The sequence below is a fragment of the Homo sapiens genome, chromosome 7 (assembly GCF_000001405.40).
Source record: "Homo sapiens chromosome 7, GRCh38.p14 Primary Assembly".
NCBI classification, from domain to species: Eukaryota; Metazoa; Chordata; class Mammalia; order Primates; family Hominidae; genus Homo; species Homo sapiens.
Genome location: NC_000007.14, coordinates 81,491,061 through 81,507,631, shown reverse-complemented (window position 1 = coordinate 81,507,631; position 16,571 = coordinate 81,491,061).

The window sequence follows — 16,571 nt, the reverse complement described above, 5'->3', positions numbered from 1 at the left end:
AAACTGTTGTATATTGTCTCCTGATTAACCTTAGTCTTTGAACCCATACCTGTCTCCTGATTAACCTTAGTCTTTGAACCTATACGTGATTATTCAAAGGTCTCTCTCAGGGCAGGTAGAGAAGACATTAAGCCATGTTTCATGAACTGAATTAAACTCTTCCAATTTGAGTCCAGATTGGCTAAAGAGACAATGAGGTAACTGGCTAGACACTATTTCCTGCAAATGTGATCCCCAAGGAATTATGAATCAAAATTCCTGAAACTATCTTTATGTAGCAAATTGAGCCCGTAATAAAAATTCCAGAACTAATGTCCACTTTGACAAAATGAAAGAAAGGTATATTTAAATCATCAAAGTTTATAACTATGTTTTTTTACTCTGATTTCAACATAAACAGTGTATAAGCAGAAGACTAGGAAGGAGAAGGTCTATAAATAACTCTGTCCAATCTTTTCATTATTTCAACCATTCATATTTCATGATGCAAATCAGTAATGAAAAGGTTTTAAACCATCAGTGAAGAACTAAAAAAAGTTTAAGAGCTGCGTACAGTGACAAAACTGGAATTTTTAGTGCTTTTCACTTAATTTGGACATTAAAGATGAATCCTGAGGATATTATGGCTGCTTAGACACACCAGAGACTTATATCTTTGTAACCTTATATGTTTTTTCTTCTATTGTGCTCGTTGCACAGGCACATTACTTTTCCAAGGCTGATTTGACTCATCAAACACCAAACCCTTACTACATATACCTCATAAGATAATTTACAACCAAATACTCTTGGCACTTTGTTTTCAGCTGATAATTTGGAACAGTAGTATGCTGGAGCTGGCTTATCCCAGCTGAGAGAGCCTATTGTTAAGCATGCAGAAATTTTGTAGTCTTGTTGCTAAGCATTTGGTAGCTTGAAATAGGTAATGATGGGAATATTTATGTCACAAAAATTGGCAAATACTACATACCAGGTTTTTGGTTTTGTTTTACATTTTAAGAGTTGGTTTACCAGCATATTATTGGACCTGTTTTATTCTTTAGTAGACATAGAAAGGCAGAAAAATTTATGGTGAATAGGAAGAAAATTTAAGAGAAATTAGCAATGTTTATGTATGATATGGATATTTTTTTGAAGTCAGAGTACCCATGGAAGCCACCAGCACTATCTGCTAGCCTGAGTCTAATATTCACTAGACTCTATCCAAAACACCTGTAGAGATTAGAGAAATATATTACTTCCTGTCAACTATGCTTTAATATCCACCCTGCCTTGTCAACCTAGGAAGTGGAGCTCATTGTGGTTATTTCAATGATCACCTGATGTCTCTAACCCATGAATTAAGGTTCTCTTGTTATTCTTTGTCTTCTCCTAAGATGAAGACTTAAATTGCAAAATAATAGTAGTGGATAATAATGGTCACAAATTGTTAGCCTACTGAATGCTATAAACTTCCATAAGGTATTTTCTTCCTCATAGAAACTCTACAAACTAGGCAACATTGTTCCAAACAAAAAAATTAACTTGCTCAAATTAAGTGTAAGTCATAATTTTAGCCCAGATATGTCTATTTCCAGAGAACATGTTTGCTCCATTATACTAGTATTTCTATATTTTCAAACTTGATTAACTCATGCATGCTTTTTAAAGAAAAATGAATCCCCCAGACATCCAATATTGATTTATATTATTTTTGTAAGAGGGATAAAAAATATATTAAATAATATATCTTTAAATGTAGTAGCAGAATTATAACAAATCTGCCTCTCTTACCTCAAATTGTTTCTAAGAAAAAATTAGTAAAGAAGCATTGATGTAATGAGTTGATGATGATGAAAATAATACCTTTATGGTATGCCAGAAATTGGAGAGGCTGTGACAAAACATATTAAAAAGAAAGCATGCCCATTTTTATCTGGTCTGGCCAAGCATACAGGACAGATGCATGATGAGATATGATGTATGTATTTACCCCTGTGTGAAACAACAATAAAAGATCCCTTAGACCTACTGGGGGACAATGGAAATATTTGCTGCTTATCTTGGGACTTCTGATATTCAACCTATAAACTATCTAATCATTCTTCTTAAATTGTGAATATGGGAACTAAGGGGCTAAGTCACCCTTCTATTTGTGGATTGGGAACAAATTCTCTTGGTGACCCTCAAAATATTTCACTTTCTTCTGTTTGATAAGGGACATAAGTTATGCAACTGTTTGACTATTTCTGTGTGTATTATTTCACATTTAACCACTCTATAAAAAACAAGCTGCATGAATAAATAGTGAGAATCACATTTTACATTAATTTATTTATTGGTCTTTGTGTCCATCTGACTCTCAGAAGGAAACAGACAGAAAAAAATGAGAAGAGTTGTGGAAGGAGCTATTTAAAAGGGTGTAGACAAAGTCAAGGAAAACCAGCATGACATATATCTGCCTGTCATTTCATAAGCAAATTACATCCTGTAATTGATATACATTTGATATACATTTCCTTTTCTGATTCCACTTGATGACTGCTGCCTAAAGATACTCAATGAAGTCTTCCTAGGCCATTCAACGTAAGAGCTAGAGTTTATTTTTAAGGAAAATAATGTCTTACCTTATTAAAAAGAGAACACTACTTACACTAGTTTTTATTAGCAGAATTGACTTATTTTTTAAAGATTACCTATAAGCTAGAAACTAATAGTGTACTTAATATTTTACACAATATAAAGGAAGCCCCATGTCATTCCAGTGTAATGATGTGGATAGTCAAAGTGAGACAAGTCACTGATTAAAGAGATTTAAACAATTTTTAGGTTTGGATCATTTTGTTTTGATCTCCTAAATAATGACCTTTCATTCGAGAAAAATACTAGTTGTGCAATTAATGGCTTAAAATTTCTGTCTTTATATTTGTAAATATTTTTTCCTTTTTTTCTTTTCATGCATTTATTCTAATTTGCATGACATATATTAATTGAATTAGTACATAGGATTAAGAATGAATAAGAAGCTCAAGGAGTAATATTATAGTAAAAGAAAAAAGCAGTTAACTTTTTTATAGTAACAAGGCTCAGAAAACAATTTTGACAATATTAATTTTTAAATTTTAATCATATTCAATCATTTATAATATGACCAGGCCTTCTAATCAAAGGGAAGTAAAGTTTTCAAATGAAATTTTGAAATTAAAGAAATGCAAACAACAATTTCACATAGATTGCATCAAAACAGTTTTTACATTTATAGTAAGCAATCTTAAGGTCCAAGTAGTGCAACAGAAAGAGTGTGGCCTTAGGAATAAGACAGGTCTTGGTTTGAATTCCAGCTTTCACTAGATGATCCTGTAAAACTGGGTTGAGTTATTCACCACCATTGAACCTCAGTTTCCAATTTTCAATAGAAATTATTAAAAGCTATTTTAGAAGCCTCTCCTGGTGCCGTGACCAGAATATAGAATGTGATTAATAGCTAGTGGCATTATATTAATGTTTATTAATTGTTATTTTATTTTATAAATGTTTATTAATTGATTATAAACACAGAAAGACTGTTTGAAAACATCAAGTGTAAGTGATTGCTGATATAGCTACCAAACCTCCAGTTCTCATTCACAGTTCTCCTTAAGGAAAAAAATGTTATATTTTATTTTATTATTTTATTTATTTTATATTTATTTATTATTTATACTGATATTTTAAAAAGTATGTTTTAATATTTATTAAATTTTATAGTAATTTTCTTAGCAAATGGGCAAGACCAGCATTTCTTCTTAAATTAGAATTTTTACCACTATTTGAAACAGATCATGAGAAGTATCCATTAGACATACTTGAAAGAAAATTTCTTAATTGCAACCCTTTAAATAATCTTCTTCCAGTGAGAATTAAATGAAATAATTTGGAAGCCAGTAGAAATAGTATAAATTTTACTCTTCTAGGTCATAGCCTTGCACATCTGCTGAGACTATAATGCCCACTGACGAAAGATTTCATGACAGGGAAGATTATTATTATTGTCTTTTCTGTAAAATATAACAAGTTAAGTAATTAAGGTTATGAATCAAACCAAATTAACTGTGCACAGCTGTAAGAAGCTTAGTGCATGACCACATGACAGATGGGAAATTCTTTTGTTTTCACTCGTGATTTACCTAATGGTGAGATAAATGTCTGATGACATACAAAAACCAGCGTCCTGTCAATCCTTAGCCATTTATTTCATCACTCCTCATGTTCCTGACAGGGAGGAGTAACGGCTCAATTGTCCAAGTATAAGTATCTTCATATTTTCTGCTTAGGCAAAACTGTAAGCTGTGGGAAAAAAAGTTTTAAGTTACATTTTAAAAGTAAATATAAAAAGGTACACTTTGCATAATTCTATATACGTAATCTAAAATAACTTTCAGAAATTTTACGATGCAATAATCGTATCAAATTTTAGTATTTTAATTTAATTAATATCTGACAAAAAACTTCCTAGTCATGGAAATGATCTTTATAAATCTATTTATATGTAAAATTTCCACATTAAAAAATCATTTGATTAAATCATATTTAGTGTCAGCCGTTTTTGTCCATGTTACAAAGGGGAAAATGAAGACACCAGAAGTTTAAATAACTTTATCAAGGTCACAGACTTAGTGAGTGGTAGAACCAGAAAGACCGGCAAAGAGACAGAGAAATGGTCAAGGCTTGAAGAGTCTCCTCACTTGTAAGGCAAGTGAGTTGGAAAAAAGATAATAAAACGAGGTGAAGAGATTGACAGGGATCATATTATGCAAAGACTTAGAAGCCATAATAAGTATAGAGATTGATTTCCAATTAATCAAATTACAAGTCATTTGGACAAGTGCTGTAAAGGAAGTGTAAATAAATGTAGGACAGATAACATGGCAAATTCTGACTTGAAGAATATTGAGAAACTCCCAGAAGAGATATTTGTATTTTATGTAGGTCTTTGATGGATAGAATGAGAAGCAAAGACATTTCAACATGGTAGAAATTGAGGAGCATGGATATAGGAGTGCATAGTCTTTTCTTGAAGGGAAAGAAACCAAGCATGTCTGGAGCATGTGAGGAGCACTGGCCAGAGGCAAGGCCAAAAAGGGAGATACTTGGTAGATTGACGAAGGCCTAGAGTCAATGGTATGGGTTTTAGACTTTGTTTTGTAGTCAATACAAAGCCATGTTAGATTCCTAGGAAGTGTAAATGAATAATTGAAACTAAACCAGACGAGTGAAAGATAGAATGCAGAAGAGAAGACTGGAGGTAGCAGGTTCAGGCAGCAGGCAATTGCCAGAGATAAGGCCAGGCATTTGCCTTTACCCTCGTGGTTACTACCTACTGGGGCCTCCAAAGAGTTTACAAACGATGAAAACATAAAGGCATAATGGAATAAGCTATGGAAGTGCTGAGAGGATCAAATGCTAATCCTCAAATTTGGTTCTTTAAAAATGTTTTGACTCACCAATTGAAAAAGGATATGCTGAAAGGGTCCAGCTTGCACATAATGTACACTTCAGTATTTACTCTGTGTAAATGGATTTACTCTGTGTACATGGATTACTAAAGCTATTAGATTAGAATAGCTATATGTATTGTACAAAGAATTTTGTGAGGATTAAATGAAACAAGAGATATGAAAGCTCTTGTAATAAATGTTATATAAATATAAACCATTAATATTCTATTTAATCCCTATACAAAGATTTTGCTTTTACATTACTAGTGAAAAATGTAATATTCCTACTTATCTTAGATTTTGAAATATGAAAAAAATGTGAATTAATTAAGATAAAAGCTTTAGTTGTGTGTATATGAGAGAGAGGTAAATAAAAGACAGAGAAAACAGAAATCAGGAAATCTACCCTTTTTTGTCAGGCAAGTGAAGTGCAGGAAGTTAGGATGATTCCTTCAACTAACCTTTAAGCAATTTTCAAATGCCTCGAACTTGCTCTACACAGTTAAATTCTCATGGATGAAAATTTGTAGTTACTTTTATATGAATATAATGGTGATTTACAAAATGATGCCTACACACCTTGATAGAGGAATTGGATTGTTTTCTCAAAACTCTCATATATCCTCATTTTGGGGGATGTTGCCTAGTCCACTGAAAAGAACGTGGTCTTGGAGATACATGAATTTTTATCTGGATACCAATTCTGCCACTTAGTGGAGATACATGAATTTTTATCTGAATACCAATTCTGCCACTTAGTGGCTATGGAACTTTTGTTAACATACAGAGCTTCAGCTCCTCCTTCATAAATTGGTGGTATTGAAAACATCTCTTTTAGAATGGGCACGTAATATAGCTAAAAGGCTGTGTTAATAATATAGCTAAAAAATATAGCTAAAAGGCTCAGCACCAATCATGACAAATAGTTGCTTTTAAATAAATGCTACCCCTACTCTTTTTGGTTTTAATCTGCCGTGCTGTCACCAAATGTGCCCAATGAAGAAAGAAACATGTTCTAAGAGTATGTTTTCAAACGTTTTCTCACAAACACCTTTGTCAGGCTCTTTATTTCCTTCATATGGCAATTCTTGAAATGTAGTAACTGCTCAACGAATATTTATTAAAAGAAAGAGAAAGGAAGGGAAGAAGGAAAAAAAGGAAGGAAGTCGGGAGGGACATAAGGAAGGACGGAAGAACGAATGAGAAAGCAAGTTAAACAGGTGTGGGCTGTGGTATCTTTACTTATATTAGTCGTGACATTCTTCCCCATACCTGTGCTTAGTGCAGGTATTATTTCTTAACGAGCTGTAAATAGAGCTAGGTGATTAAGTGTGGTGATCAAGTTGTCTGTCATTCTTTTAGTCTATGATCTGGAAATACAGCGTAGTATTTATTTAAGAAAACAAGGCCACAATACTTCACCTGACACTACTGGAGCCTTTCTCGATCTTTCTTTGTCCAGACATGCCCTTGTTGTTGTATAAAACAGAATGTTCAGTCCTATAGTAGCTGATCTCTGCAACTATCAAAATTCGACAAAGTAATCAGGAGTCCTCTCACTCAATTGTATAAGTAGTGTTTTTTCTGTTACTACCATTGTTGACTGATCCTTCTTTGCAGAGGTCTGTTTTCTACTTTTATTATTTCTGTGAAATCAGCCTCATGAATTATGTTGGCATAAGAAATGACACACTTTTGGGAGGCTGAGGCGGGCAGATCACCTGAGGTCGGGAGTTGGAGATCAGCCTGGCCAGCATGGTGAAACCCCATCTCTGCTAAAAATACAAAAATTAGCCAGGCATGGTAGCGTATGCCTGTAATCCCAGCTACTCAGGAGGCTGAGGCAGAAGAATTGCTTGAACCTGGGAGGTGGAGTGTGCAGTGAGCCGAGATCGCACCACTGCACTCCAGCTTGGGTGACAGAGCAAGACTCCAGCTGAAAAAAAAAAAAAAAAGGCACCTGGCCGGGTGCAGTGGCTCACACCTGTAATCCCAGCACTTTGGGAGGCCGAGGCAGGTGGATCACTTGAGGTCTGGAGTTCTATACCAGCCTGGCCGACATGGTGAAACCCCATCTCCACCAAAAATATAAAAAATTAGCAGGGTGTGGTGGTGCATGCCTGTAATCCCAGCTACTCAGGAGGCTGAGGCAGGAGAACCGCTTGAACCCAAGAGGCGAAAGTTGCAGTGAGCTGAGATCCTGCCACTACACTCCAGCCTGGGTGACAGAACAAGACTTCATCCTCACACACACACAAAAAAAGAAAGACAGAAAGAAGGAAGGAAAGAAAAGACACCTAGTACTTGAGTGTTCACAAAACTTATCCTATCTTATGCTGCCATCTGCTGGGAAGGTAATGTTGCTTGGTCATGGACTTTACATTAAAATCTGTGTTGAACTTTGTATTGCTAGCTTCTTAAATGGTCACACATTAGATAGTAATGGAAAATTACTTGGGTAAAAAACTTTTTGTGCTTTTATGATAGGAAGCAGGAAAGGGCTACAATGGTCTGACCCATTTTTGAAATAATGCTTTGCCCTATTAAAAACTTGCTGATTCATTCTATCTGTCGTTGAGCCAACACTAATTATTGTCTTCTGTGCCAAGAACTACAGAGAATCCACAAAGATGAGCAAGGAATGGTTCTGTTTAATAGGAGTTTATTTCCTAGTAGGAAGAATCACAAAAGAAGTAAATGTGGCAAGGTATTCTAGATGTTACAGTAGAAATATAAGAAAAGAGGGCGTGGGTATGGTAATTTCTACCCCAAAGTCAGGCTTCTTGCAAGAGCAATGGTAGAGGATAACCATTATAATGAACAAATGTTCACCAACAAGGCAAGACAGGAGAAAGAATTCTGGCCAGAAGAAATATTATAAACAGACATTTGTTTCTAAAAAACAATGATGTTTGTTTTTTGTGACATTAAGAGATGTTAGTTATTTTGTCTTGTAATTTGCTGTATTTGTTTTTAATTATTCAAAGAGAAGAAATAGAGTGAAATATGCAAGATATTCTACACAGCATATACGTCTTTATAGTTTTGTCCATTGTACTGCTATTAATACTTCATATTTATTATATTTCTCAGATTACTACTTCTGTATTAATAAAGATTTCATATTATTGGATCCCTGATAACTGGATTCCTGCATTATTAACAGGAGCTCTTTTTGTGATGTGCCTCTATACTATTGCATGGTGCCTCTTCAAAGAGTAAGATTTTAATTGCTGTTTCTATTTGAATTTGTTCATGGCTCATAAAGTCCATCAACGATGCCTTAAAAAGAGCAGGATGAAAGTAGAAAGAAGAGATTGGAGAAAATGTCATTGAGCAGCTATTACTTTAAGAAGTGCTTTACTGATGTTATCCGTGCTGATAATCACAACAATGGTGAGAGATAGGTAACAGCATCAGTGTTTTTGATTTAGATAAATGATTTTAACCAAGATCTTCTGGTTCTAAAGCTAATGTTCTTTTGCTAAGTGATCAATCAAATGATTCAAGCTAAAACCATTCGTCTGAAAAAAAAAAAGAAAGAAATGAGATTTTTAATATTCCCATAGAAAAGGAAGAGATGAAATTTAGTTGGTACATATTTAAATAAGATCAAGTCCTCTGCCTATATTTTCCTGTCAAAGGATAGACAGAAGTCTCAAAAAGGTAAGATGAAAAAATTTCAATAGTAATTATAGAAGGAGTGAATTAATTCAGGAAATGTCTCCTGAGCTTTCAGGGATAAGATTGTGCCAGGTGAGCAGAATACAGAAATGCTAACAAGAAGTACTCACCCTCCAGGAGCACAGCCTTGACTAGAAAGGGTTCAGGAGAATGAATGGTTACAATAGATTAGAAGAGAGAGTAAAAAGACAGGGTAATTGAAATTTAAATATCTTTCTATGGCATACTTAACTCTGGCTCAGAGAGATTGGGCAGGGAATGTTTCACAGAGAACACGCCACTGAAACTGGCAGTAGAAGAATGAATGGAAGAAAATATAAAGGAAATACATAAAATATAATTTAGTTTATATTTAAGGGTGATTTTTTTTTTGAGAGGCATAAAAATGGAAACAGGATTATATGAACACTACTATATTTCCTCACCAACAAAAGTCTGGCTTTTATCCCGGAATATGGAGTATAGATTCTGCAAGGTAAAGTAATAAAACCTAAAGATAATAGTTGTATTAGCATGAAAGTAAAAATGTATTAAGGACAACTGAGAAGCTGCCACTTTTATGTAAAATGGAAATAGTATAGTAAATTTGAATTTTTGTTTTGAAGGTGATATATACCTTAGCACAATATTTGGATTTATAATGGTGATATCAAGTGTCTGAATAAATAAGCAATTTATTATTTAATTTTAAAAAGGAACCATTTGTCCAAAAATATAGTGAATTAAAGTGTAATAAGTAGGTTTAAAAGTAAGTGTTGCACCCATTTCCTCCTTTTCCCTGTAACTAACTCCTGAATGAAATCTTGTTCAGATGTATCATGGAAGGAGATCTGTGGATGTGCAATAGACAAGAAGAATATTGCAGAATAATAGTGCTACCATAGTGTATCTAGAAACTTCTCCCCAGATATTCCACTAGAATGGAATCTATTACACTAGAAACTTCTCCTGAGATATTCCAGTGTCATCTACCATGTTCATAGGTTTTTTTCTGAATGTAGAAACGGCAGAGTAATCTGAAATATTTTTTTCTGAGGAGCTGATATTTTCTTATTGGATTTTATTAAAATAGTTTAAGGACATTTTTACTTTCACATTCAAAATAAATTATTATTGGCATTATGTGCAACTGTTTTATTTTTTACATGTGGACGGTTAACTAGAAGTTTAAGGCTATTTGATTAAGATCAAAGCAGGGAGTTGATTTTGATAAATTTTGACAATTTTGATCAGAAAATAAGCATTCAGTTTCTTTTTTCAAACATACTGCACCCCTGTTTTTTGTTCTTTTACTGTAGTTCTCCCATTTTTTTCAAGATTATTTCCCCAGTGTCACAAACATCACCAGAGCCAACCAAGTCTCACGACCAAAGGGCCTGGACTGGTACCAAGGTAAAAGCAGAGTCGATGCTTTAAAGAAAGAAATTTTAGGCAGTAAGATGAGTTCCTTAATGCTTTATTAATTTTCACATAGAGAACCACAAAATAGTGGTTGGTACCTTAGTCCATTCTGGCTGCCATAACAAAAATACCATAAGATAGGTGGTTTATAAGCAGAAAACATTTATTTTTTACGGTTCCAGAGGCTGGGAAGTCCAACGTCAAGGTAGGAGCAGATCTGGTGTCTGGTGAGGGCCCGCTTCCTCTTAGACAGAGCCTTCTCACTACAACCTCACATGCTGAAGGGGTGAGAGGTTTCTCAGGGACCTCTTTTGTAAGGGACACTAATTCCATTCACAGGGGCTCTGCCCTCATGACGTATCTCTCAAACAGCCCCAGTTCCTAATGTCATTACCTTAGGGGTCAATTTAAACATATCAATTATAGGGCACACAGACATTCAGATCACAGCAATTAGCATTTTAGAAGTTTAAATTTTGCTCCTAAATTCTTTAACAGAGGAATTTTCAAAAATGACTCTATGTTCATTCAACAATATCTATTGACTACATAATATTCTTCTAGGCATGGGGAAATAGCAGAGAGCAAAATCAGATTTATAGATGAACACTGGGATCTGCTACTGGTATTCTGCCAATTCTACAAGGTTGTTACTATTTTCAAGTGAAGTTATTTATATAATGATTAGGGGTGATAAATGCCACAGAAATTAGAACAAATACAGTTTGTTTTTCAAGAATCTAAGATGAAATATATAAATTTATTACTCAGAGCAGCATCAAGATCCATTATCTCTATCTAGAAAAGATATTAACTGGAATTATTAATTTTGAACCTAAGAACACAAAATGATTGATTTATTATATATAGAAGTTTATCAACAGTTAATGTAAGGGCTATTTAAATATAGCATTATGTAGTATTTGCTTACCTACTTCTTTATAAAAAATCTAAACTGTTAAATTATTTAGGATTTATGCAGAAAAGCACTAAAATATATTATTTGTATTAAAGGATAAAATAAATACTTCCAGTATGTCTTAATTTTTTTTATGGGCATAGAAACTTATTGAGTAGTGATCCCAAACCAAACATGAGACCAAACTTGCTGCCTGGAAATCATCAGGTAAGGACAAAGAGAAAAAACATGTCATAGCTATTACAATAGCTACTCTTATTTTTCATAGTGTCCAGACAATAAACAAGCACTTGCAAATATGTCATACTGAATGGTAACTCTTAAACAAAAATGAGAGAATTTAGACATTTCTGTTGAGGTGGAAATTAAGAAAGAAAGAGCGAATTCAATTTTAAGTGATTGACATTGGTGACATCAGTGATGGGGGAAATAATATAGTAATGTTGATATATCAGTAGGAGACTCAATTGATGGTGTATATTAGTGAGATGGCATTCAATTTTCTATTGTTCTGTATTTCTCCCTATTGAAGTCTGAAAAATATTAGGTGAAATTAAATTACATAGATAATCTAGTAGAGGTGTAGCTAAGGATACCTATGATGCCCATTCATCCTTATAACACTCAGATATTTAACAAATATTGACTGTATGCCAAATTGTCTTATGGGATTTCTCTCACTGAAACATTCATTTAACATATATTTCTTTTGAATTAACCCCAAACCACATAGTTTTGCTCAATTACAGAATTAGTTTTTACATAAAATTATATTTGACTCAATGTCTTTGTGTTGGTAAAATATTTTCCAGTTAATATCAAAATAATTTGTACCCAATTTGATCTATAAGGTTAATTCAACAGGTATTTATGCAACACAACTGTAGAGCTCTACAGAGTTATCTATGGATTACTTAAGAAATTTAGAGAAGTACAAAATATGGTCTTCACTCTTCAAGAACTGATATTTTAGTTGTGAAAAGATATGAAAAATATTGTAGGGAATTATGTGTGGTAGTTTATTAATTCCTGATAACTGTGCATGCCAGCATGTAATACACCCTGTAGGAATTCAGAGAACAACAAGTGAGCTAAACCAGTCAGAGGAAACTTGGAGAATTAGTATGGAGGGTCACATGAAGAATATATGTCTTTTTCTAGATGGAGAACAGTGGGAAAGAGGTTTCACAGTCCTGGCATTAAGCACCGTGTACAAACTCCCAGACTTTTTACAAGCAAGCTTCCCTTTCACCTCACCCAGCTGTCTCTCCTTCTTTGCCGTTGTCATATTTTGGAACTAAATTCAGATATCTATACTGCCACCCTCTCCAATCTCACACCTGGACCAAGTTAGATATATCTAGAGAAACCCATACATGCTTCATAATTGCATTTATCGCACCATATTAATATACATTATGCACATACATATATATGTACATACATATGCTTGTATATGTGTTTCCCACCATACTATTCCTTTCACCTCCTGCACTAATGATTTTTTTACCTTGAAGAACACTGCTGTGGAGGTGTTCATACTTGCATACACATCCCAATATCATAGAGTTTAAAGATGGAATAAGTGACTTACTTATTCCCCATTTCATCCTCTTCCGGAATATGTCTCTTTCTTCCTTCACAAATTGCTGCCTTTTGAGGTATCTATCATCAGATTTTAACAGCCATTAATTGCTATCACTGTTATCCTCAAAATCATCAATGACTTTAATTTCTGGTTCACAGGGTTTTTTCGCTACTACTTTTCCTGGCATGTTTTTTTGGCATGTTGAAACTCCACAAAAACGACCAACCAATATAATGGCTGATCAGTTCTTTTAACTCCTTTCTTCCTACTCTTTGGTCCTTCTCCCTGTTCCAAACATCCATTCTCATGGTCTCACTCAAGACTTTGTCATCATCAGTAATTGCAACACTGTCAAAAAAATCTAGATTACAAAGGAGCCCATTCTCTGATCATTACCCAACTTAATCCAAAATATTTATATGCTTATTTAAGGGTCTAAGCTGATGACCCTATTACTTTTTCTTTATCCATTACTTCTTTCATGTGTCACTTTTCTTATATGGTTTGGATTCCATTGTCCAGCACAATTACTGTCTTTGCAAACTCTTAACTCCTTTGTCCCAACAGCCTCCTTAAAACTTAAGGAAAAAATCTCAATCGTGATGAAATCCAACTAGGTGCAGTCTGCTCTATGACTGCACCTAAGCAGCAGTGTGTTCCTGTTGAAAATAACATAGTATGCCCTCTGAACTCATTTCGGATTGATGACCATTCCTTCAAATGGCAGCTCAATACAGACACACCTAACCTTAGGTCCTTCATAAATTCACTTTACCCCTTACAGTAAAAACAGTATCACAGTTTTCTAATGCTTCCATCTCTTCTCACTCTTATCTGTGGTATCTCCTCACATTTCCTAAACAAAAAAGACACAATTGGCTTCACAAACTCTCCCTGACTCCTAAAACCAACTCTACAAACATGTCTGCATCAGTACTACAAAGCCTGACCTTTCTCATTCCAGAAGACTCCTTGCTCCTTTCTAAGGTTGTTCTCTCCGGTTATGCTTTGGACACCCATCTCTCTGGTCTTCTCATGGAAAATTCTACTCTCTCTACTGGATTATTCACATTGTCTGACGTGACTTAAAATATTCTACTTTCAAAATACCTTCTCTACCCCCTTCCTTCCTTCAGCAACCAACCCATTTCTGTTATTTTCATAGTAAATACCCTTTAAAAGAGTTTTCTAGACTAGCTATATACAATTTGTTTTGCCTTCTAATATCTATTCAACTCACTCCAAAGGGGGTTATGCTCCAACATTTCATTGAAATGACCTTATCCATATCTGCAATGACCTACAATTTAGGAGAGATGTGGCCCAAGCCTGATTTCTCTAAATCTATTGTTATGGAGCCAATAAAAATGTAACAGTGCACATGTTTCTTAGCTGCCCTGGAGACATGGTATAATAGTGACGAGTGTCTTGGATATGGCCTGGGTAAAGCTTTAATATCAACAAGTAAATTGCTATGAAACTATAAGGAAGCATCCTCTATGTTGTAAGTGTATTTACTTAAAACATGAGTAATAGGAGTAAACAAGACAATCATTTGATTCAGTTGTCAGATTTCTTGTTTTGTAAATAATTCTAGTATAGTGAGCCTGTGAATATCAAAGTGGTAATCCTATTAGGAATTATAAGGTCATTGATAATGTCAGCCTCTCTATATAGGAATACAAATTTAAAATGGAATAATAATTGTAAAGTATTTCCTCTAGCCATGAATAGTTCATGATGGATGCAGAATTGACCCTGGTAAGAAGCACATTATAATATCAATGTTCTTATGTCTAAAAAAGTATTTCCAAAGTGTGGAAAAAGTTTCACCATGCTGAGAGAAGAATTATGGTGTGATTAATTAATGTATTGTTCAGTTTTAGTTAATGAAAGATGCCTAATTAAAGGAATTATAAATACTTTTGTTTAAAAGTCTAATAAGTTGTTCTACTATTCAAAAATCCACTATTTAATTTTTCTTAATCACAATAATTCATAAATTCTTGAAATATTTTCCTTGAAACTATATTCTGAAAGTTCACAAACCCCCTCTTAAGTAGATTTAACTGCATTCTGTTATCTCCCATTAATCTCCATTACCACTTGAATAGCCTTAATTAATCACTTTTGCCTGCCACGGCAGTAGGCTCCTAATTGACCTCAGGGTTTCTGTTCCACATTTTCTTAAAAAGCTTCAAATAGTGCCTACACTGCCACTGTATAATGACACAAAATATTTATGAGCCACACTGTGTGAGTAGGTACTAAGTGCCAGTGAGCAAAAAGCACACTAACATGTAATACTCATGAAACCATGAGGAGGAAGGTAATATTCCAGTTTTTAAGAAAATAAATAGTTGGGCCAACTTCCCATTGCCCAAATTCCAAATTCTTAGTTGATGAAAACAAGCATGTTCTTTATTATCCCTAAGACCTATACAATCCCAGATATATTAATCCTGGGAATATAGCACGATTTGTAGCTTACAAAGCTTGTCACAATGCCATGCCTTTATTCTTTTGCATAGGACTTTATTGCACATATTCTCTTTATATCGTTTCCGACCTCTTTCACTCTTCTTTAAATAGCTAACTTCTACTTGCAAAGCAAGGTACCTCAGACATCACATCCCCTTTATAAGCTTACTTGAATGGGCATCTCTCCACTGTACTCCTCAAACACTTATCGCCATATATAATATCATTGGCCTCTTTGTCGTTCTTACTGTAAACTTCTTGGAAGACAGTAAGAGATATTAATTGAATGTTTATCTCCAGTGCAAAGCAAATACTAGGCACTCAAAGTATGTTTATTTAAGAGAGGATTTGCCATTTAAGAGCTTGCTAGTAACCTTTAAGAAGGTAAATATCATGGTACAAGGGATTAATGACTTAACGGAAATAAGTAATCAGGTGTAAGTTGTCCTTTCCAGAGGGTTTCTAGCAAAAGAGAAGGAAGATATGGGAGTGCAGGATGACACAATATAATTTTAAGCAATAGTTATAAAAATATTTTTTGCTCTAGAGTAGAGCAGAGATGTGGTATCTCTCACACGTACATGTGTGAGTGTGTGCACATGTGTGTATAATAAGCTAAGGGGAAACTTTTACTGGAACCATAGATGAAGTAAACAATAGATAAGGTTTGTTTTAGGCATAAACATGTAGAGGTAACAATTAGTGTTTGAGAATAAGATAGAGCTCAATTGGAGTCACAGCTCATCCTTTAATTTCTACACAGTCATAGGGAATCCATTTAGTCTGTCTGAACGTCAGTTTCCTCATATGTAAATAGGATGTATGTGTGTTATTAAGAAATACTGATGCCTGTGTACTACTAACAGAAGTATTTATTGACTAGGGGTGGGATGTGTTAAAAAGACCATTTTCCCCTCAGGTGACTCTAATATGCAAGCAGGCTTGAGAAACACTGCACTATGCAGAGGGATTGACTCTCTTAATGTCCTTCTTTTTCAAGTGCTGATGATAGGTTTATGATTGGCATAGGTGGAACCCATCA